Source organism: Homo sapiens, chromosome 7 (assembly GCF_000001405.40).
Source record: "Homo sapiens chromosome 7, GRCh38.p14 Primary Assembly".
In the NCBI taxonomy this organism is placed as follows: domain Eukaryota; kingdom Metazoa; phylum Chordata; class Mammalia; order Primates; family Hominidae; genus Homo; species Homo sapiens.
The window spans coordinates 12,919,173-12,943,526 of record NC_000007.14 but is presented as its reverse complement, the minus strand read 5'-3'; the positions used below and the strand labels follow the sequence as shown (position 1 = coordinate 12,943,526).

At 37.2% G+C, this 24,354-nt stretch overlaps 1 long non-coding RNA gene and 1 pseudogene across 1 annotated transcript in view, besides 3 other annotated features; one reads left to right on the top strand and one right to left on the bottom strand.

Moving 5' to 3' along the window:
* LOC105375158 (uncharacterized) overlaps window positions 1-11,849 on the bottom strand; it is a 130,320-nt gene extending 118,471 nt beyond the window's left edge. The window contains exon 1 of the long non-coding RNA XR_927044.3: window positions 11,765-11,849. This is a non-coding gene — a long non-coding RNA (uncharacterized LOC105375158). The remainder of the gene's footprint in view (window positions 1-11,764) is intronic.
* Window positions 12,509-12,803: a silencer, noted in NCBI's record as "tiled region #12730; HepG2 Repressive non-DNase unmatched - State 24:Quies". NCBI's record gives its function as "represses a minimal TATA promoter and a strong SV40 promoter by Sharpr-MPRA in HepG2 cells {active_cell/tissue: HepG2}" and the evidence as "EXISTENCE:reporter gene assay evidence [ECO:0000049][PMID:27701403]".
* Window positions 18,897-20,096: an enhancer, noted in NCBI's record as "BRD4-independent group 4 enhancer chr7:12963056-12964255 (GRCh37/hg19 assembly coordinates)". NCBI's record gives its function as "activates an origin of replication core promoter dependent on BRD2, P300/CBP, MED14 and CDK7 cofactors, and independent of BRD4, by STARR-seq in HCT116 cells {active_cell/tissue: HCT116}" and the evidence as "EXISTENCE:reporter gene assay evidence [ECO:0000049][PMID:35650434]".
* Window positions 20,607-21,183, top strand: RBMX2P4 (RBMX2 pseudogene 4; annotated as a pseudogene).
* Window positions 21,389-21,683: a silencer, noted in NCBI's record as "tiled region #14677; K562 Repressive non-DNase unmatched - State 7:EnhWF". NCBI's record gives its function as "represses a minimal TATA promoter and a strong SV40 promoter by Sharpr-MPRA in K562 cells {active_cell/tissue: K562}" and the evidence as "EXISTENCE:reporter gene assay evidence [ECO:0000049][PMID:27701403]".

The following is a 24,354-nucleotide window of genomic DNA, read 5'->3' as shown; positions in this document are numbered from 1 at the left end:
AGATAATTTGTAAAGGAAGAAGGCTTAATTTACTCACAGCTCTGTATGGCCGGAGAGGCCTCAGGAAACTTACAATCATGGTGGAAGGAGAGGAAAAGCAAAAGCACATCTTACATGGTGGCAGATGAGAGATAAGAGAGTGTGAGGGTGCAGGAAAAACTGCCACTTATAAGACCATCAGATCTCATGAGAATTCTCTCACTATCACAAGAACAGCATGGGAAAAACCACCCCTATAATCCAATTACTTCCCCAGTTCCACATGTGGGTATTACAGGTCCCTCTTTTGACATGTGGAGATTACAATTTGAAATGATATTTAGGTGGGAACAGAGACAAACTATATATCATATACATGATATATATGACATACATATATATGGCATATATGTCAAATGTAAAACCCCAAGCCATTTTTATAAGGCTGCTTGGTATCTAGTATATAGGCACATATAGAATTCTTCACGCTATCCCCCACAAAGACAGTGGGTGGATGGGAATCTAAGGTAACCTATTTCCAGCCAAGTCCAAGATAGGGTAATAAATGTCCTGGAACTACCCAGGTGGCAGCTATTTCTGACCACTGAAGACTTGGAATACATATCTGCTTATCTGTTTTGTGGTCTTTATTCCAAGTCCAACTCTCTCGTTAAGGTCTAGGTTAATTATTGCCTGAGCCAAAACAAGCTGGCAAAGCAAAAAATCCAGCTGAAGAAATCCAAACAAGCTATTGTTGACATAGCTAACATCATGTCTGCCTTGAAATTTTTATAGGGCTTAACTACTTGCCAAGCACTTTCGCCTACAATAATTCACTTATCCTTGCACTCATCCTGTAAAGTGAGAAAAACAGATGTCACTGTCCCATCTTAAAGGTGAACACAGCAGACTCTGCATTAAGTGACTTGTGCAAGGTCAAGTTACGAGGAAGGCTAGAACTTAATTATTGTTTAAGTAAAAAGGCAGTGTTTTTTCTTACTGTGACCTACATTCTATCTAAAGGCCACCTAAATCACGAAAGAAGGAATGTACCTGTTTAAAATGCCACATTCCTTTCTAAGTTCACTTAAACTTCTACATTCCTCCATTGGAGAAGTAGTTCATTTCAAAATATTTAAAGTGGTTAAAAATAGCTTTTTTGTCAAAAACCACTTAGTGTTTATTAACAAATGGTTATTAACGTGTGTAACAGTTATAAAAGTGTGGCTGGATGCTCACTTTTAAAAGAGAGGGGTATTTTATGTTTGTATATGCTTAACCAACTAGTCTAGTACATGATATAGGCAGAGAGAAAGATTTGGATCCCAGCCAATAATTGGCACTGAATTATAAAACCCTAAGAGAACAAGAGAGTGAAAATTTCATATAAATCTGTCTGTTTTGAATCAAATTGGATAAGAACTCATATCCTAGTTGACATATTTATAAACATATTTTCTAAAATATTTAAGTATCTTGAGAAGGAGGCATGCTGTATAAAACCTGAAAACCTTTATCTGGCTCTTTTTGTCTCATTGATATTATCCATGTTCTTAAGCAGATAAAGTCATTCTGGCTTCTGGAATATCCCTACAGGAATAAACGGGGATATCTCAAGATGTCAAGATTTTGGTGGATTGTACATGAGTAGATAACTCGTATTTTCAAATCGTTCTTAGAAGAGCCCACAGGCAAATAACTCTTCGAATCGTACAAAGATATTTAAGTCAGTTTCACATAGGATGAACTGTACAGACTTGTCGAGTTCCCGGCTGAGTTTTCACGTGTCCTTCATTAAGTACATGGATCAGCCTGAAAGGAAGTCAGGTTCTGCTTGTGCAATCTAGTGTGTTTATACCTTTCTGTTTGACAAGGAGGCTTTTTGTTGTCTAACTCTGCCTGTTCACACAAGTGAAGGACAGATATAATCTCAAACTCATATACCTAGCAGAAAAAGAAAATAAAATTGAAATCTACGTATGCAGAGTTTGATTTCCTACCTTGTTTTTTTTTGTTTTTTTGTTTTGTTTTTTTTTTTTCAGGTAACTCCCAGATGTTCTCTCATTTAACAGAAATTGTAAAGGCAATTATAAATATGTCTATTCATTAAGAGCATCAACATATTTAATGATATTGGTGCATTCACCAGTTATATTTATATTGTGCTTTTCTTCAGTTTTCCAAATATTTTGAAATATTATAAAATTAATAATGTACATTAAAGAAACTTAGAAATATAGGTAGGAGAATAAATCACCCCAGTCTCATCACTCACCTGGTCATGCTGACATTTTAGAAACTTTTCAGACTTTTCTCCTATGTAAATATATCATCATTTTCATCATATCGTAGATAACCTTAACATATTTTTTAATCTTATATGCATTTCTTCCGTGTATTCATTTGTTTCCTCACTCTTTCATTTATTGCACTCAGAAATGTATATTAGGCACATAACACAGATTAGTACTCTGCTAGATGCTGGAGATTAAACAAGGAAAAATGTAGTTCTCATGTTCATGGAGAACATGCCCAGGGAAAATAAAGACTTGTGCATTAGAACTTTCCAAACAGTTTGATAAGTGCTGGAATAAAAAACTATATTATAAAAGCACGTAGGCAGAGTTCCTCCTGGTAGGGGAAAAGCATGTGTAAAGGACTAAAGACAAGAGAGGGCATGACTTCAGAAAACTGAAAATAAATTCAATATAACTGGAACATAAAGTTTAAGTTGAGGGGATACAGGCAACAGAAATGACTAGAAATGCAGCTGTGCCAGATCACTCTTATATTCATTTAGCAAATATTTACTGAGCATCTACCTAGTGCCAGGCACCTGGGATAGACTGATGAACAGAGTACAAGCACAATTTCTATCCTCACAGATCTTGCGGAAAAATGCAAATGACCAAAGCCTTCAGTGATGGCCCAGACTTAGCCAGATAACTGAGGAGTAAGGAATGAAGAGTCAGAAGGAGAAAGAAATGTTGAGAGGCTTCTAAACCATGTTAAAGAGTTAGGTTCCATCATGAGAGTTTTAGGGTTTTAAGTAAAGAAATTAAATACTCAAATTCTCATTAGAGAAAGATTTGCGATGAAGAGATTGGATCAGAAGAGCAAGACTACTGGCTTGTGAGTGATAAAGTGGTTGCATTGGTCCAGATGAAGAAAACAGACACTCAGCTAGGGCTGTGCATTGGGTTGGACCTAGCCAGATACCTAGAATAAAGATTCAATAGTACCTGTAAGTAACAGAATAGAGACAGAAAGAAGAAAATTATGAGTAATACTCACCCTAATTGAAGATAATGGCCATTTTCGTTCCAAGATGGCCAAAAAGGAACAGCTCCAGTCTATAGCTCCCAGCGTTAGCAACACAGAAGATGGGTGATTTCTGCTTTTCCAACTGAGGTACCGGGTTCATTGGACTGGTTGGACAGTGGGTGCAGCCCACAGAGTGTGAGCTGAAGCAGGGCAGGGCATCACCTCACCTGGGAAGCACAGGGAGTCAGGGAATGCCCTTTCCTAGCCAAGGGAAGCCATAACAGACAGTACCTGGAAAATTGTGACATTCCCCCCCTAATACTGCGCTTTTCCAACAGTCTTAGCAAACGGCACACCAGGAGATTATATCCCGTGCATGGCTTGGCGGGTCCCACGCCCATGGAGCCTTGGTCACTGGTAGCACAGCAGTCTGAAATCTAACTGCGAGGCGGCAGTGAGGCTGAGGGAGGGGTGTCCGCCATTGCTGAGGCTTGAGTAGGTAAACAAAGTGGCCGGGAAGGTCGAATTGGGTGGAGTCCACCGCAGCTAATGAGGCCTGCCTGCCTCTGTAGACTCCATCTCTGAGGGCAGGGCATAGCTGAACAAAAGGCAGCGGAAACTTCTGCAGACTTAAATGTCCCTGTGTGACAGCGTTGAAGAGACCAGTGGTTCTCAAAGCACGGAGTTTGAGAACTGAGAAAGGACAGACTGTCTCCTGAAGTTGGTCCCTGACCCCCGAGTAGCTTAACTGGGAAACACCTCCCAGAAGGGGCTGACTGACACCTCATACAGCCAGGTGCCCCTCTGAGACAAAGCTTCCAGGGCAAGGATCAGGGAGCAACATTTGCTGTTCTGCAGTATTTGCTGTTCTGCAGCCTCCACTGGTGATACCCAGGCAAACAGGGTCTGAAGTGGACCTCCAGCAAACTCCAACAGACGTGCAGCTAAGGGTCCTGACTGTTAGAAGGAAAACTAACAAACAGAAAGGAATAGCATCAACATCAGCAAAAAGGACATCCACACCAAAACCCCATCTGTAGGTCACCATCATCAAAGACCAAAGGTAGATAAAACCACAAAGATGGGGAGAAACCACAATAGAAAAGCTGAAAATTCTAAAAACCAGAACCCCTCTTATCCTCCAAAGGATTGCAGCTCCTCGCCAGCAACGGAACAAAGCTGGATGGAGAATGACTTTCACAAGTTGACAGAAATATGCTTCAGAAGATCAGTAATAACAAACTTCTCCAAGCTAAAGGAGGATGTTCAAACCCATCGCAAGGAAGCTGAAAACCTTGAAAGAAGATTAGAAGAATGGCTAACTGGAGTAAACAGCATACAGAAGACCTTAAATGACCTGACAGAGCTGAAAAACATGGCACGAGAACTACGTGACGCAAGCACAAGCTTCAAAAGCTGATTCGATCAAGTGGAAGAAAGGGTTTCAGTGATTGAAGATCAAATTAATGAAATGAAGTAAGAAGAGAAGTTTAGAGAAAAAAAGAGTAAAAACAAACGAACAAAGCCTCCAAGAAATACGGGACTATGTGAAAAGGCCAAATCTACGTTTGATTGGTGTAACTGAAAGTGACGGGGAGAATGGAACCAAGCTACAAAAACACTCTTCAGGATATTATCCAGGAGAACTTCCCCAACCTAGCAAGGCATGCCAACATTCAAATTTAGGAAATATAGAGAATGCCACAAAGACTCCTCGAGAAGAGCAACCCCAAGACACAAAATCGTCATATTCACCAAGGTTGAAATGATGGAAAAAATGTTAAGGGCAGCCAGAGAGAAAGGTCGGTTACCTACAAAGGGAAGCCCATCAGACTAACAGCAGATCTCTTGGCAGAAACCCTAGAAGCCAGAAGAGAGTAGGGGGGCAATATTCAACATTCTTAAAAAAAAGAATTTTCAACCCAGAATTTCATATCCAGCCAAACTAAGCTCCATAAGTGAAGAAGAAATAAAATCCTTTACAGACAAGCAAATGCTGAGAGATTTTGTCATCACCAGGCCTGCCTTACAAGAGCTCCTGAAGGAAGCATTAAACATGGAAAGGAACAACCAGTACCAGCCACTACAAAAACATGCCAAATTGTAAAGACCATCGATGCTAGGAAGAAACTGCATCAACGAACGAACAAAATAACCAGCTAACATCATAATGATAGGATCAAATTCACACATAACTACATTAACCTTAAATGTAAATGGGCAAAATGCCCCAGTTAAAAGACACAGACTGGCAAATTGCAAAAAGAATCAAGATCCATCAGTGTGCTGTATTCAGGAGACCCATCTCACGTGCAGAGACACACACAGGCTCAAAATAAAGGGATAGAGGAAGATCTACCAAGAAAATGGAAAACAAAAAAACCCAGGGGTTGCAATCCTAGTCTCTGATAAAAAAGACTTGAAACCAACAAAGATCAAAAGAGACAAAGAAGGCCATTACATAATCGTAAAGGGATCAATTTAACAAGAAGAGCTAACTACCCTAAATATATATGCACCCAATACAGGAGCACCCAGATTCATAAAGCAAGTTCCTAGAGACCTACAAGGAGACTTAGACTCCCACACAATAATAATGGGAGACTTTAACACCCCACTGTCAACATTAGACAGATCAACGAGACAGAAAATTAACAAGGATATGCAGCACTTGAACTCAGCTCTGCACCAAGCAGACCTAATAGACATCTACAGAACTCTCCACCCCAAATCAACAGATTATACATTCTTCTCAGCACCATATCGCACTTATTCCAAAACTGACCACATAGTTGAAGGTAAAGCACTCCTCAGCAATTGTGAAAGAACAGAAATCATAACAAACTGTCTCTCAGACCACAGTGCAATCAAACTAGAATTCAGGATTAAGAAACTCACTCAAAACCGCTCAACTATATGGAAACTGAACAACCTGCTCCTGAATGACTACTGGGTACATAATGAAATGAAGGCAGAAATAAAGATGTTCTTTGAAACCAATGAGAACAAAGACACAACATAATAGAATCTCTGGGACACATTTAAAGCAGTGTGTAGAGGGAAATTTACAGCACTAAATGCATGCCCACAAGAGAAAACAGGAAAGATCTAAAATTGACACCCTAACATCACAATTAAAAGAACTAGAGAAGCAAGAGCAAACACATTCAAAAGCTAGCAGAAGGCAAGAAATAACTACGATCAGAGCAGAACTGAAGGAGATAGAGACACAAAAAAACCTTCAAAAAATCAATGAATCCAGGAGCTGGTTTTTGGAAAATATCAACAAAATTGATAGACCGCTAGCAAGACTCATAAAGAAGAAAAGAGAGAAGAATCAAACAGATGCAATAAAAAATGATAAAGGGGATATCACCACAGATCCCATAGTAATACAAACTACCATCAGAAAATACTATAAACATCTCTACGCAAATAAACTAGAAAATCTAAAAGAAATGGATAAATTCCTGGACACATACACCCTCCCAAGACTAAACAAGGAAGACGTTGAATCCCTGAATAGACCAATAACAGGCTCTGAAATTTAGGCAATCATTAAGAGCCTACCAACCAAAAAAAGTCCAGGACCAGACGGATTCACGGCCGAATTCTACCAGAGGTACAAGGAGGAGCTGGTACCATTCCTTCTGAAACTATTCCAATCAATAGAAAAAGAGGGAATCCTCCCTAACTCATTTTATGAGGCCAGCATCATCCTGATACCAAAGCGTGACAGAGACACAACAAAAAAAGAGAATTTTAGACCAATATCCCTGATGAACATTCATGCAAAAATCCTCAAAAAAATACTGGCAAACCGAATCCAACAGCACATCAAAAAACTTATCCACCATGACCAAGTGGGCTTCATCCCTGGGATGCAAGGCTGGTTCAACATACGCAAATCAATAAACGTAATCCAGCATATAAACAGAATCAAAGACAAAAACCACATGATTATCTCAATAGATGCAGAAAGGCCTTTGACAAAATTCAACAGCCCTTCATAAAAACTCTCAATAAATTAGGTATTGATGGGACATATCTCAAAATAGTAAGAGCTATTTATGACAAACCCAAAGCCAATATCATACTGAATGGGCAAAAACTGGAAATATTCCCTTTGAAAACCGGCACAAGATAGGGATGCCCTCTCTCACCGCTCCTATTCAACATAGTGTTAGAAGTTCTAGCCAGGGTAATCAGGCAGGAGAAAGAAATAAAGGGTATTCAATTAAGAAAAGAGGAAGTCAAATTGTCCCTGTTTGCAGATGACGTGACTGTATATTTAGAAAACCCCATCGTCTCAGCCCAAAATCTCCTTAAGCTGATAAGCAACTTCAGCAAAGTCTCAGGATACAAAATCAATGTGCAAAAATCACAAGCATTCTTATACACCAACAACAGACAAACAGAGAGCCAAATCATGCATGACTTCCCATTCACAATTGCTTCAAAGAGAATAAAATACCTAGGAATCCAACTTACAAGAGATGTGAAGGACCTCTTCAAGGAGAACTACAAACCACTGCTCAACGAAATAAAAGAGGACACAAACAAATGGAAGAACATTCCATGCCCATGGATAGGAAGAATCAATATCGTGAAAATGGCCATACTACCCAAGGTAATCTATAGAAAAACAAATGTATTCTAGACATGGTAAGAATACTTTATCCTCTCTTTTATACTTTTGTTGTTTATTTATGTAATACACAAGTGTATTATCATAAAAGAATCACATAACTCAGTTATACAGAACAAAACATGAAAATCACTTTACATTATTATAAACCTCTGACTTTCCTGGAAAAAAACCACTATCAACAATTTAAGGTAACCCTCTATCTAACTGTTCCCCCTTTCCCGTTTTCGTGAACTATTAAATACCTAGGAATTTAATGTAGTCACTAACCTCCAAGGAATAATAAAGAATCTGCACACATTGACTGCAGGCTTCTACACAATACTTCTTTTGAAATTTTAAAATAATTGTATTAATATTTAGAATGTATAAAAACATATTTTTACAAAGTAGCAAATCCTTGTGTCCTGACCCCTTTGTTTAAGCCATGAAACACAACCAAAATCTTTGAAAGTTTGTGGATACCATTTCCCCACCCAACTCCTCCATCCCAGAGGTAATTGTTCTTATGAAATTATGGTTTCTCATTCGTGTGCATTTATTTACATTTACAGAATAACAATGTTATCACTAAAAATGTATTTTTTTATATTTTAACTTATATTAATGACATTAAAAACCTATATTCATCTACAGCTTTTTTCTCTCATTCAAAATTATGCTTGCAAGTTTCATCAATGTTAATCCATGTAGCTGTAGCTTATTTATCTTCACTGCTGAATAGTATTCCATTGTGTGCGTGTGTGTGCACATGTGTGTATATATGCATACATATATCTTGATGTTTCCAATATTTACCATTAAAATAAAGCTCATATATACACCCTTCTTTATTGTGTAAATATTTCTCTTTAGAGCTCACAAGTGGAATAAGTTGGGACATGGGATGCATATGTCTTCAGCTTTGCCTAAGATAGTCAAATTTTACTCCAAAGGTTACCAATTTATCTCTCTACATAAGGTGCATGAGAATTCCCTTTGCTCCATATACTCCCTAAAAACTGTCTGACTTAGAAATTTTTTCACGAATTTGACTCATAAGAAATAATGCTTTTAACGTACATTTTTCTGATAATTTCTGTAAAGCAATATCTCTCAATGATAAAATTTTGATACAAAAATATGCAAGGGTCACGTATTTATTAATATCTGTTGCATAAAAGGAGAAAAAGTGCATACATTAAATATGATTCCATTTTGCTTAACAGAAAATTTAGATGCTTGTATAGTTGTTAACAAAAACCAAGAATTGATGCATTTTATGCGACCACTTTCAGTCTTGGAGACTACTGATTCCACTTTATCGATTAGATTTTTGTGGTCAGAATTCTACTAGAAATTGTTAGAAACTTAAAATGTAATAATGTTATTTATATGCACACTATGTTGTATGGATTAAATCCTGGACAAAATTAGCCAAAGTAAGAGAAATCTATACAACATAAAATCTTAGAACCAATGCTCTCAGATATATCTTCCTTATTTGTCATTGCTATATCTACTAAACAAGAGTTGTGTCCATTCGTTTATTTGCTTGAATCATTTGGAGATTATTCTTGCAAGTTGTACTCCTCTTTTGCTGTGTGAACATTAACTTTGGTGGAGAAAAAAGGAAGTATGATGATCCACATTTAAATCTATTTTCTCTTTTGTTGCAGGTAGATTATTTAGTTTGAAAAATAGCCATATTTTTTAGTTCATGTGCAGATACAGTGCCACTGTTAATCTCAGTTCTTTAGGGCTTTTGAAACAACAATATTGACAGACCAAATGATACCTCTCAATATATACCTTCAGATATAACTTCAGCCCATGGCTGCCTCATTTTTTTATTTCCTGAGGTCATTTTTTCTTACTAAGAAATCTCCCCAGGCATCCAACCTTCCCATGATACTGGATAGCTACTTTACAAGAACATTATACATGTTTATATACAAAATATTATACGTTGAATATTTTATATATATAATAATATAATATATATTTCCGTAATCTTATTTTCTATAGTCTACATATTTTCCAGCACTCCTCTCTTCCTATATTACATATATACTAAATACTGTACAATGTGTATTTTTCCTTGTAAATATTTTATCAGCAAGATGAGGTTCCTTTGTAAGTCTGTTACAAATTTAATATTTATGACTGATAGGATAGACAAGTATTCTGACAGCACGTACTTACTTTTAAGAAACTAGAACTCTTTCAATGGTTTACAACCTCTTCAACTGTTTAAGATTGATGAAGACAACTGCATCAACTTTTTCCATGCAAAATTTAAAATAACACATAAATTAGGAGGGACTTTGCTCAGAAATCACATAAAAATTATTAAAATAGTTATTAACACTCACCACTGAGAAGAGATGCTTTGGAGAACAAGGTAAAACCACCAGTCATGGCCACTACACCACTTACCTAACCACTAAACCAAGGCCCATATGTCTGAAAATATTTCTGCCCAACTTCTTCCTTTTGAAATCAAAAGGTCTTATTCAAATTATCCTTCAAAGTAATGTGTGTGAGCATACACAAACACACAGACACACACACACACTCATGTTTTTGACACCAATTTTTATACTGTTTATTGAGAGATTTTTTAAACGTTTAAAAACTTAAACTTGAGAAAGCATCTTGATGAGTCAAGCTATTTCTACCATTATTACTAGATTGTCCCCAAAACTAAATTCATGCATAAATGCATATAATATTTAAAATTTTTCCTTTGTGTTAAATGCATCTTGATTTAAAATTATGTGCACTTGCATTTTCAGGTATTTTTCCAATGTTCTGACCAAATAATTCCTCACACACACAGATATAATCTTTATGTTTGCAGCCCAACCACTCACCTCTGCAAATAGGCTACTGGCCATATTGCACAAACAGTCTTCAAATGTATTTTTTACAAGAGAAGAACAACACGGTACCATAATCCTGCATATGTAACAATATCTCTCAATTTAAGAACAAAAGCCTCAGGATTGAACCACATCTATGTGTCAGATTGCTTTGTAGCAGAAACCCTGGCCACAGACAGTGTTTTAGGAGAAAACAAAAATGAAAACATTTATTATTTCACATTGCCAACAATATAAAACTTTTTAAGTCACTCCATATTTTTAAAACAGTATTGCTATAGATTAGTATGTCGTGCAAATTTCACGAACTTCCACATTTTATGTTCCAATTTTTTCAGTACCTGAGGTTTTGTTCCAAAATAAAATCCAAAATAACAAGTAGAAAAACAGGCTCGTTGTGATAATACAATTATCTGGTTCATTGTGATAATACAACAGAGTAATATGTACCATTATATATAGTCATGTATATGTATAAAGTTTCTTTTTTAAGACACTTTCCTGTAATATTTTTAAAGCTTTCCATATCAAAGTAAGAGCTTGCATTTCTTAATGATAATATAGCATAAGAAAATGTGCTGGAATTACAATAATGCAGACATAAATCTATTTTCATTTAATTTTTCTATAGAGATACAATACGGCACGACAAAGCAAGTTATTTCCAAGGGCACTGCCCCTGACCCCTCCAGATCTCACGTCCTCACATTTCAAAACAACCTCAGCCTGGACTTTATCGTCCATATCACTATCAGCGTTTTGGGCAAAGCTGTTAAACAAGTCTCTAGGAAGTTCCAAACTTTCCCACATTTTCCTGTCTTCTTCTGACCCCTCCAAACTGTTCCCACCTCTGCCTATTACCCAGTTCCAAAGTCGCTTCCACATTTTCAGGTATCTTTTCAGGAACACCCCACTCTACTGGTACCAACTTACTGTATTAGTCCGTTTTCATGCTGCTGATAAAGACATACCCGAGACTGGGAAGAAAAACGGGTTTAATTGGACTTACAGTTTCACATGGCTGGGGAGGCCTCAAAATCATCGCGGCAGGCAAAAGGAACTTCGTACATCGCGGCAGCAAGAGAAAATGAGAGACGAAGCAAAAGCGGAAACCCCCGATAAACGCATCAGATCTCGTGAGACTTATTCACTATCACGAGAACAGCAGGGGAAAGTGCGGCCCCGTGATTTAATTAGCTCCTCCTGGGTCCGACACACAACACGTGGAAATTCTGGGAGATACAATTCAAGTTGAGATTTGAATGAGAACACGGCCAAACCACATCTGGCACCTAAAGCATACACCTGCTGAGCTCTCTTCTTGTGAAGGTTTTTGCTTAGGGATTAAGTTGCCCTCATCCTTTCTTTCGAGTGTTAGATTGGTCTTCTGTGTACCTGCATCTTAGCAGTAAGACAAATAAGAGATGTTAAGACATTTTAGATTTAAAATTATCTTCATTTTATACACAAGGAAAGCAAGAGGTAGAAAGTTTTAATGACTTAATCTGAATAACCCAACCAGAGCTCCCTTTCCACTCTGTGCACCCAATCCATGTTTCATTATGCCCTGCTCTTGATCTTTAAATGTAGCACGTCTTCCCAACCCCACCTTCATTCTAAAGATTAAAAGCTCACCAAATCAGTATGCCCTCGAAATCTTTGTTTTTGTTCTTTTACCTTAAACTATATATAATCATAAGCAAATCATCAACTAGTTTTCTGATCACTAAAAGTGGTATATTGATCCTTGTTTCAGTTCTTCATTGTAGGGACCAGAATTATCTACAAAAGTTATCACCATAATCATGACTCTATTTTAAAAACAGGATGAAGAAAAAACAAAGCCATATGCTAAATTCTAAAGCCCTTCTATCTAAACTGTGTAAGTTTAAGGGTCATTTGCTGTCTTGAAGCATATGACCTAAGTAGGATACGTTATCTACAGACATGCTTATACACAGGAAATTTTGCACATAGAGATAAACATACTTTATTGAAGACTTCTTGAAAGATAGTGCAAAGTATATTCATCGCATCAACTCTTGATATATTCCTCTGATAACCAGCAAGCAGCTGAGTCACATTATTTTTTTTCTTTGTGTGTGTATGTGTGTGTGTGTGAGTTATTAAAGTCTTTGATGCTGTGTTGCAACAGGGTCTTGTGAAGTAAATCTACTGTCCCTATGTCTGGGAGAATTTCTGTCAAAGAAACTATAAAGCATTTTTATGTTATTCAATCTATGTTCTGCTACGTTTTTTCCCTCCTTTCCTAACAAAGAAAGAAAAAAGAGTAAGACATCAAATAGGAAGAGAGACCAGAATGGGGATCAAATAAGAATATATATGATATATATGAAAGCGGTTGGAAACCATGGATTTCTATATAAACATCAGGGTTTATAAACCTGGTGATCATCCATATATGGAAGAAAAATAGTTATGTCTTTACTCCTCAACACACAAGTCTCCCTATCATGTCCGTCACCACAAAAAAAGCACAAATGAATTAATTTAAATTTTGTCCAAAAAATGAAGTCTCCTGAGACAAGAAATGATATTTCTGTGATACATTCCTCAATGAATATTAGATGGTATCTACTTAGGTGGACCTGAAAATTAACACAAGTCAAACAAAACAACAACATTACAACTCAAAAACAAGAAAGAAAGTGAGAAGGGGATGGATGTATCAAATTTTGTAGCCAAAGGGCATGATCAAGGATATTCAAGCTGGAAAAATTCATGAAAATGGGACTTGGCTGCTTTTGTTCTCTGAATCCTCAAACTTTGCCATATAAGGGCTGATCTCTCTAGACCTGACACTGTGGTGATTTCACTTTAAAAAACAAAAAGCATTTAAAAACAGGCTCTTGTTGGTGTCAGAGATAGTCAGTTCTCTTACTAATCTTCTTGAAGGTCCTGTTTCTATCCAAAGCCAGCTGTTAGAGCCTATAGGTTACAGGTCTTTCAACAATCTAATCTTTAATTCAAAGATTAAAAAGCTTAAAATAACTTTTGACCTACAAGCAGGTTTTGCTTGTTCATACAGACATATTTATATGTAGTGTTATCAGAAGCCTCTAGAAGTCTATGAGATAGTACTTTATGAGATAGTGCATTTGAATGAATATCTCACTTCAGCCAACCTCCTGAGGTTTTAGTAGGTATCTCCTCTCTGGGGACCAGTGACTCAACTCACTGAAAGTTAATAAGTTATTAGTAAAGTATAGGGAAATTTTAAAAAGCAGTGAAGAAATACTGATAAGTAAGTTAGATAACGGAATACACTCCCTGCCAACTTTTATAAGCAAGTATTCCATTGAGAATAGAAACTTAATGTTCCTTTGTTGGATTATCAATACACAAAAGAAGAGCAAGGAACTTATTTTAGATTTCGGTTTTGTGATAAAATTCCTAATTTTTCTCCAGTGGTTCATAACTAACATACTTCTTAAAGCCTTCCCTGGCTGTAATTTTCTCCCCCCAGTGTTCTTTCCTCTCTTTTTGAAAGGCTACAGAATTGTTCCTTAGCTTCATCTCTGTAATATTTTTGTCTCCCCTCCTAAAGTTATAATCTCTTTGAGGATGGATTCCATAGTTGTGAAGTCTTTGTAACTCCGGAAGTACAATATTGCTACACAGAATATACAACCAACTGTGGAGAGAGAAATGATTTGTTCTCTTAGTCTCATTTCCCCAGTATGATACATGAGATTTTGCCTCTATTACCTCCTAATGCATAGGTAGTTTGGACTTAATATATATTATTTCCATAGGACTTATCTTTTGAATGTCTTTCCAGAGATCCAAAAAAGATATATTTCGTATGTAATGTATGTTTACCTTTCAGAAAGTGACTTGTAAGTTACCGATGCTTTGAGGGTACGAGAGAAGAAGGACTGGGGCAAGGAAGGCAAAATATGGGGAGAGGAATGGACAGTGCTGTGGGAAGGAGGTGGCGTGCCCTGTGGGCAAAAGACCTGGAGAATCACCAAGCCCAAGATTGACATTTCCAATTCAGACTCATAACCTCAGCAAAGATTCATCAAGATTTGTAGCCTTCTCTTTTGAATAGAAAATAATCTTATCAAGGGCTTGTAGGATCAATCATATTTAAATGTTACTGGTTTTATCAGCTACCACAGAGGGAGAAGTAATTTTGCACCGTTGGATAGTTGAAGGAAGGCAGGCCCAGGCGAGTGACCCTTGACAGATAGATCACAAAGAGAAATTGGAGAAGACAAACTTTACCTACTTGGCCATTATGCTAAGTGTTGGCAGCCACTTTTCCTTGTGTCAGAGGGCTGTAGTAGAAAGGACACTAAATACATTTCAGAAAGGACACAGGAGACAATGCTACTAGTGACAGTAATGACAACTAAGCAACAAAAGGAGCCCATCATTTATGAAGGGCTTTCTATAGACCAGGCACTACCTCTTCACCCTCTCTACTGGTTTTTATTCGTTAATTTATTTACAATGTTACACTGACCTCTCCCTGTCTCATAGCCTTCCTTCTGAAAAATGCTTCTCTAATTATATGTTTGCTGTGGGTGTGTCAGTCTTGGATCTCTGGAACCCTGCAGAAAGGTATTTAAACTGTACAGTAGGTGAACCTTGGTGATGTACGCCACTCACCAAGAAAGAGAGAGAGAGAGAGAGAGAGAGAGAGAGAAAGGAAAGGAAAGGAAAGGAAAGGAAAGGAAAGGAAAGGAAAGGAAAGGAAAGGAAAGGAAAAAGGAAAGGAAAGAAAGAGAGGGAAGGAAGGAAGGAAGTTAGTTCAGAACACTCTCATGCATGTTTTTCAGTCTGGCTAGAAGAAAGGAGACTTTTTGTTCTCTAATAGCAAAACTGTAAAAATGTGATGCTTGGTATGTAAACGACTGTAACCTTTATCTCACAGAGACACATACACAAAGAGAGAAGCAGGGAAAAGAGATAGAGAAGGAATCTGGCAGGGTTGTATGTTTAAGCGGCCCTTACTTCTAGGGCTCCCTAAAGCTAGCTCAAATCTCTCCTTCCTACAGTTGCTGATGTGAGCCATTGAGTGCATCCTTTTCCTCCCTTTGAATCCAATTGAACTCTTTTCTTCATTCACAAATATGCCTGGAACATTTACTTCTCACAATCTTATGCTTCAATTTATTATACAAAGAAACAGCAACTTAAACAGTGTAGTTAAATAACTTTCCTCAAGGTCACGAAATTAATAAGTTGTGGCCGAGGTCCAACTTGTTGTCCCTGCACTTTTAATTGCTTGCTTGTCCACCAGGATCCTTAACCATCTTAGCCTTTGTTCCTCAAGGTCAATTTTATTGGACTTTTTTTTTTTTTAATCTCAGGAGGGTCAAATTAGATAATCTAAGGAAAATCATTCTGACTGCTGTAAAATGCCATAGGCAAAAGTATTGTCCCACTGGTCCAAGTGCCTAATGCCTGCTGGAGGCTACATGGCATTAAACTCAATATATTCTATGTTGAACTGGGCTTGTAAAATTGTTTAACGATTGTAACATTTATGTATTTCTGGTCTGTTTAATCTGAGGTTTATTTTCTTTATACTTTACAAAAAACTTATTATCAATTATATGTGACTACAACATAAATTTAAACTTTAAAACAGACAGTGCAGCCTTTAAACCTCTGTATTCAGCATGAAAAGATGTGAGCACCAGGGAGGGCTTTAGAATGAATATCCATGAAAATAAATGACAGCTCCCATCATTCTCAGAAAAAAGAAATACTACATCATTCCAAAAAAAAAAAAAAACAAAAAGAAAAAATATCTTACATGCTACTGCTACCAACATGTGTAAAAATAAGAAGGTTGATGTATCTGATGAATTGTAATCCATGGAAGAAAAATACTATTTTATAACATTTATTGAGCCTGATACTATTCATGCCAAAGAGTTAATTGCTCACTGGAGTATCAATAATTATTTTAGACCACTAAAATATGATCTTTGTGTTACTAGGGAAACAAAACCCAGTTTTCTTGCATGCAAGATTCTAACCAAGTCAGAAATTATATACAGATTTCCTAAACCCTGTGCTCTTTTAAATAATGATTTTTGCAAAGAAACAGAAAGGCATCCTTATATTCAGAATCTCTAGACAGACCAAATCAAAGCTAAATTTTATGAGACACGTTAGGATATTTCTGTTCAAACAATAAACAGTGATTTTGAGCAATGTCTAGACATATGAGAAACCAAGTTGAACCAAAGTGGCAAGAAAATAAGCAAAGCTAAATATTGTCCCTAATTGTAACAGAAAATACAAGTCTCTAATACTTCTAAACATTTCCTGTCTGTAAAATCCAGGATGGTGTGATGAAAGCCTCTTGTTCTCTCTCAGCCAGGAACAAGTTAAAGCTGACCTCAGCCATAACATGGTTCTCAGAGGAGGGGACTTCAATGCCCTTAATTCTTCTGGAAAGCTGATAACTTTTGAATGCAGGCAGCAGGGAATCTGGCACAGGCTGCTTTTTCTTTGGGTTTCATGCAAAGATACTGCCAGGTTGACTAGAGCTACCCAGGGCAGGAAAGTAGGGCAGTAGTCTCTAATAAGAGGCTAAAATTAACAGGAAAAAAAAAAAGCCTTCTTTGCAAATTTCACTTAAAAATAGTTTAAATATTTAATAATTATCAACAAACTTATCTACAGATTTTTTGAAAAGGACTGAATTATCTATCAGTAATATGTACATGACATTGCTCATGTTACCAACTGCTATTATTTGTCATAAGAAAATAAGCATTTCAAATGTAAAGCCTCTCTTTTTCTTTGAAATAATTTAGGTTAAGCGTCCTTTCTTCTTCACTTTGAAAACTCTTGTGCTCCCAAATTTTAATAATACAATAATTAAAGGTAAAACATATTGCTTTTATTTCCAAAGCATCTCTAGCTGAGAAGTCTGCAATGTTATAATAAGAAACCCCAGAGGTCAATGGTCAGTAGTGGAAAGATGGCATGCACTTGAGCAAGCAAACAAAGCAGGCCAGCTTTGCCAGCTATATACCTGACATCCAAAGCATACAGATCTCCTTCTGGTCAACAGTGGAGAGCACCTGAATTTTAGAAACTTGTTAGCTTTTGATAGACCCACTATTTCATAGCTTCTGTCAAAATCTCAGTTAAGAGAATACATATTCAAGGCAGATTAAGAGACAAGCTGTTCAATTATTTCTCAAGATCAGCGGCTCTTAAATGTTAATATGCAAAATACACACACACACACACGCATCACTGGGGGTCATATTGAAAACGTGTATATGTGGCCAGGCGCGGTGGCTCACACCTGTAATTCCAGTACCTTCAGAGTCCGAGGCAGGTGGATCACGAGGTCAGGAATTCGAGACCAGCCTGGACAAGATGGTGAAACCCTGTCTCTACTAAAAATACAAAAAATTAGCTGGGCGTGGTGGTGGGCCCCTGTAATCCCAGCTACTCGGGAGGCTGAGGCAGGAGAATCACTTGAACCTGGGAGGTGGAGGTTGCAGTAAGACAAGATCATGCCATTGCCCTCCAGCCTGGGCAAGACCCCATTTCAAAAAAAAAAAGAAAAAGAAAAAGAAAGTGTGTATATGTGAGATTTCAGAGATTCAAATTCAACAGGACAGAAGTCCTTATTTTCATCATGTATTATAAGCAATGCTAGTGAGAATCACATTTTGACAAGCATTCCTAGTATCCTTAAGCTTCATTCATTTACCAAATCATAGCACCAGAAAATTTATATAAGAACTATCTACTCTAATTTCTCACAGAAGTGGCTTTGCAGAATTATAATTCACTTTTCTTCCCTGATTTTCATAAAGGATTATCATACGAAGTAACTACATGAAAATCCATTTTACATTTTAGAGAAACTTAGATTGACAGTACTGTCCATTTTTGTTCAAATATGCCTTTTTAATGGGCAGTATATTTCTCATAGCACCAAGGACCAGAAAAAAAAAAATGTATCAAACAATTTGTTAACAAGTCTGTAATTTATCATAACAATGTTTGTCTTGGATACCTGAAAACACAGAGAGAAACTTTGTTCTGAATCACAGTGACTTTGTTTGAGCCTTTACCTTGATTTTAATCATGTGCTTGTCTTTAATCATAAGTATATCAAATTCTTTTTGGAAGCAACTAGACTCATAATAATCAGTAAAATTGCAAAGCCAGATGTCATTCTGTAATGAGTGCCTGTGCACTGGGGCTGGGACGGGGGGTCCAACCAAGTTTGTTGACCCATTTATTTATGTAAATTTTCAATACCATAAATTCAAGTTGTATAAGCACAAAGTCAGGACAGCTTACCAAGACACACTGTTAGTATGCAGTGTATTCATACTCCTTGTAGAATTAACTCTGAAAAGGGCCACTATTATGCTGCCCTGTTAAAACCTATTCATATATTTCCTTCACTACGTCAAACAATGCTTCTCATATCCCTCCATGTAGTTTTCTAGATTTAGATGTAGTTTTAGATCCCTGTTAGTGCTTTCCTCTGTTCAAACCAAGAGGTCTGACAGATTGCTACCTTTCACCTGGATTGCGTCAGCCTTGGAACAAATCTTCCGAAGCCAAAGTCTTTTACACATCACTGCCAGATTAATCATCCTGGAGACTAATTCTAATGAAATTTAAATTATTTAGCTGGTCATCCAAGGCAATCTATGGTCTTGATGCTACTTGTCTTACAAAATCAATTTTCTACTATGTGTCCCATAAGCATCCACTCCAGCCTAGCTCATTTTCTACTTTATTTCCCTCTGCTTTCCCACTCCCAGGTAGAACGACATTTAGTTGGTCTTTAAGAACATAAATTGTATTCATCCTTAAAGCCATCAAAAAGCCTCATTAGAAACTGCTAATAAAAGTAATTTCTTTTCCCCGTGTGACTCTCATAATACCTTTTAGATTTTCCCTTACTACATATATCTTTCATTATCATTATTAAGGAATAGGTCATATTTCCCCCTCAAGATTAAAAGCAGATCTGTTATTACCATAAGACAAACCCAGTACATTCTGTATCATATAGGTTGAGTTCAATGACACTTAACCACTTGGAGAAAGAACTTAACAAACTGCTTCATTTTCAAGAAACTATTCACCATTTGAATTTATCTCAGCAACATCTTACACAACAAAGAGGTAAAGCAACCTGAATATCGTTGTGCAAAGAAGGGAATCAGCCAAACAGGGCATATATCTGACTTCTGGAGCAGTGTTCACCAGAGAAAGCTTATGGATTCAGGATCAGTAGCAGGTAACCCTGTCACCGTCGCCCCATCACATTCTGGGGCAATGCACAGCCATCTCACAGGATCAGACAACTGACTCTGGAAGCCAGATGTCCCCCAGATGTGTGGTGCTGAGGGGTTTTTAAGACTTGTGTGACATGGCAGAATCTTGTGTCCAGCTCTGTGGGGCGGAATACTAGGCCTTTATATAATCAGGCATCCAAGCCTTAAAATTACAGCTACAAGGCATAGGAAGGTCATAGTAGGATTCATCACACCAAGATTCTGGTCAAGAATGCACTAGCCCCTGCCTTGGCATGATGGGGAAGCTGGGTTCCAAGTTCAGTAGCTTGTTAGTACCAGAAACATAAAGTCATAACTGCTTTCCATGGTACTTTGCAAGAAGCAGTTCTTTCTAAGGGATCAGCTTGCAGGAGATCAGCCTTAGACAAATTTCACTCTTATCTTTCCTACATTCAGAGTTCTAAAACAACATGAATTGTATTTGCGACACAAAATTCAGGTATTAGGAGACTGACCCGTATGTACACCATGCAAACCACTCCCAAAACCTGTTACATATGTGCAAAGCACTAGCTGGCAGAGATGAATCCCTTCACTAAAGTAAAGCTCATCAATGAGCTAAATTAGTAGGAGCCCCCCAGCTTAATATGGTGCCTCAGATGTCTTGGCCCTCCACTAGCAAGGACAGGCAGTAAATCTTTCTCGAGGGTCTTGCTTAGAAATTAACTGAACAGGTATATTATGACCTATTCTCACAATATGGAAAAATATTAACATTAATCTTGTATGGAACAAGAAATCTTGTAAATCCAAATTATTCTCTTTTATCATTGCTTTGAAGTTCAGAAACATGATTCTGGCTGTTGTCAAGTTTAATAGACTAAAGATCAGAGGAAGAATCACCTGAGTCAACCACATACCTAACTATGGGCCCCATAAAAACATAGAGACTATGGATTATTAAACACTGTGCTCTGGCAAGATGGTGGTGCTCAGAAACACTGTCCAAATTCATATCCATATAAAGTTCCCTCCTCCAAAAGTTTTTGTGTTTCATGAAAACACGAAAAACAGAAACAAAAACTATTTACTCTGTCAATTAACACTTAGGCAGTGCAGAACAGCTACCTTCTCCTCACCACACAGAGGTAAGATTAAAAAGAGAAAGGACAACTCTAATTTATATGTGCTGGGGTGCGGTAGCAGGGCAGCTGTCAGAAATCTAAGTCCAGAAGCTCAAAGAGAGGCAAAAGCTCCCTACTCCCCAAGACCTGGGCTGCTTGCCATGATGAAGTAAAGGACCCAGCAAAGAGGAAGGAGGAGGAGGAGGAGGAAGAGGAGGAGGAGGAGGAGGAAGAGGAGGAGGAGGAGGAGGAGAGGGAAAAAATCAGGGCATAAGCTCAATCCCCCTAGCAATTGCAGGAGAGAGAAATAAGAGGAAAAGAGTCAGGATAGGGTCAAAGGTGGAGCTCACACATGCATCCTGGCTCCCTGGAAAATGGTCTCAGGGTGTGGCCGCAGAAGGAGGAAATCCTAGAGCATAAAGAAGCAGACACTCCTGGGCAGAGCCAGCGCCCTGGGTTTTGGTGACTCCTGGCTTCACATCTGAGCTTTGTTCTGCTTAGTTGCTCGACTTGGAAATAGACTGTGATTTTCAAAACTCATTTGCTATTTCTCCGAATAAAGTCCCTGCAACTGGGGGAAATAAGTCATTAGCAATAATTTAGGGTTCATTGTCTTCACTTAGATTGTAGTTTCAAATAAATATTCAAAAGAACCATATTTAAAATGTTCAGAAGTCTTTCCATGGATATAATTGTTAAAGGAAGAGAGGAAAGTGAATTTTTGAAAATAAAAAATATTTCTCAAAGGAGACATGGTTGCTTTTTTTGTTAACAAAACTTGACTCCTTCTTCATTATTCATAATTTAAACAGTACCAAACATTATTATATACAGTCTTGAGAAATTTCTAGCTTTGTACACTGAAAGTATTGTATCCCACTACTATATTGAACAGCATACAATATTTTATTCCTGATCTGTAGTTTCATAAAATTGTACAGCTTACCCATAGCAGGATACAAATTAATAATTAACGTGGCCCTGTCCCCATTTTGATAATGATATATTTTTACTTTTGAGCAACAAAAAGGAAAAAGAAAAGAAAGGAAAAGTCTTATGTTTTTATAGTTTACCATGTTTTGTATGTCTAAAATTTTAAGAATCTACTATATTGAAAACTATATTACATTCCATATTGTCATGAAAACAGGAAAAACAGAAACTGGTGATATTTTATTTAAAAAGGGGGAATTTATATTTTCCTTCAACCGACTTACCAGATGTTAGAGCTTTTTAAAAATTCTATATCTAAAATTTCTTTGCCACTGATTCAAAGCAGCAGCCTGGCATTTCATTTATACATTTAAAAATATATATGAGAAAATATTATTCACTGAAAAGAGTAAAATATTACTTGCTCTCAAGTGGGTGTAAGACAGAAATTGAGTTAATAGTCTCTGCCTTGTCAGAACTGCTAGGCCAACATTTTCTTAAGTCTTTAAAGTAACAAATGGGGTATTTGCAGTTATACAAAACACGAATTGCCCATGACGTTTTCAGAAGAATTAGAACAACCACTATGAATAATTTATTTGCTTTCACCAAGATAATACTTACTTTATGAAAAATAAACATTTAACCGCTAGAAGGGTAATCAGACTTCATTTAATTTTTCCTTTATAAAATTTAAACCAATCCACAGATGTCTCAATTTCTAAAATGCTTAAATTTAATATTATACTCTCTTATGCCATTTTATCATTCTCTATATTGCAACATTTTCATATGGTTTCACAAGGACACCAATTAATATGACTGAGCACAAGACAGAGAAAGGAAAGAAATAATTAAGAGAGAAGTAAAGAAAGAACAAAAGATAGAGTAAAGGGAGTGAAGGAGCAAGGGAGGCATGGGCGGGGGGAGGGAGAGAGGCAGGGAGGGTAGGAAGGAAGGAAGGAAGGAAGGAAAGAAAGTTATCCAGAGGTTTATGGGAAGACACAGATATTCGTAGCTGCCCATCATTTTGAACACCCTTTTCTACCTTGAGTTCTACCTTTCCAAAATGGAAATAATTACAGAACTTCTGGTGTCCCTGCCTAAGGATAATCAACACCACATGGCAGGCTGAGGCCCAGAGTTATCTTCATGTAGAACAGATCCCATGTTTTGTTGAGAACTCTCCCAGCTAGATAATTTCTCATCACTTTTTTCTAGCATCTGATGTTGCTACCTTTGTGAAAAGACAGGCCCTGACTGTCACACATGGTTGACTTGTGACTCCCCATGTTTTCTTTTATTATTTCTCTATGTCTTATATCGAGGCTAAAAGAGTACATGCAATTATGTGAACTCTTATTACAGCATAGATTTGTTTGAGAAATATCACATACCCAGCTATTGCAAATTTTAATACAACGTGTCAGTGTTTTTCACAGTGCCTCATGCTGGAATAAGCATCCAGTGAATAAATGTGATAAGTCAAATGGGTTGTCAATAGTAATAAATAATTAAAATCTACTCTTTGCATGGCATTTGATGGGGCATTTAAAGTAAGTTTAAAGTTATTGCCCCTTCCCAGTAATTTCACCCTATTTGTCTCCACCTAATATCCAAATAAAAGTAAAATAAAAAATTGAATAGACATACCTCACAAGAATGTATACACACATATTGAATAGCACATGTAACATGGCCAATATTATTCAGTACAGCCATCGGAGCAGTTTGGATGATTCAAGTGGAATCAGTCATCAAAGTGAAGAAGAGTCCCTTTTACTTTCATGATTCTTAATTAGGGGGATCAATAGAATAGCTGTCACATTATAGAAGACTTTAAAATCTGCTAATTAATCAAAAGCAAAGCTCATCAAAGCTTGGTGTGTACTAATTGTACTTCATTTTCTACCATTAGCAGTTACAAAGCTGAAGAGCTTTCCTTTTTAGTTATACTCTTGTCTAATTAATTCAGCGGTGCCACAGTCTTGTTTTTATCATAACACAGTTACACGTAATACCCACAACCACTAACACGGAAAAGACACCAGGATCAGGCTCTCCAGACTAAATTATGATGCCTCTCATCGGAATTGGACCATTATGTATCCCTGACCTCAGTTTTTCTGCACTGAGGACAGTGGAGGTCAATTAGAAGTATATAAAACACTCTGAAAAAGAACCCTGCTACACATGAGATCGTGAATTTAAAGTATCTTAGAATCAAATGGCTGGAAAGATGGTTTCAAAAGCCAAAGGCACTGTAGCAATAC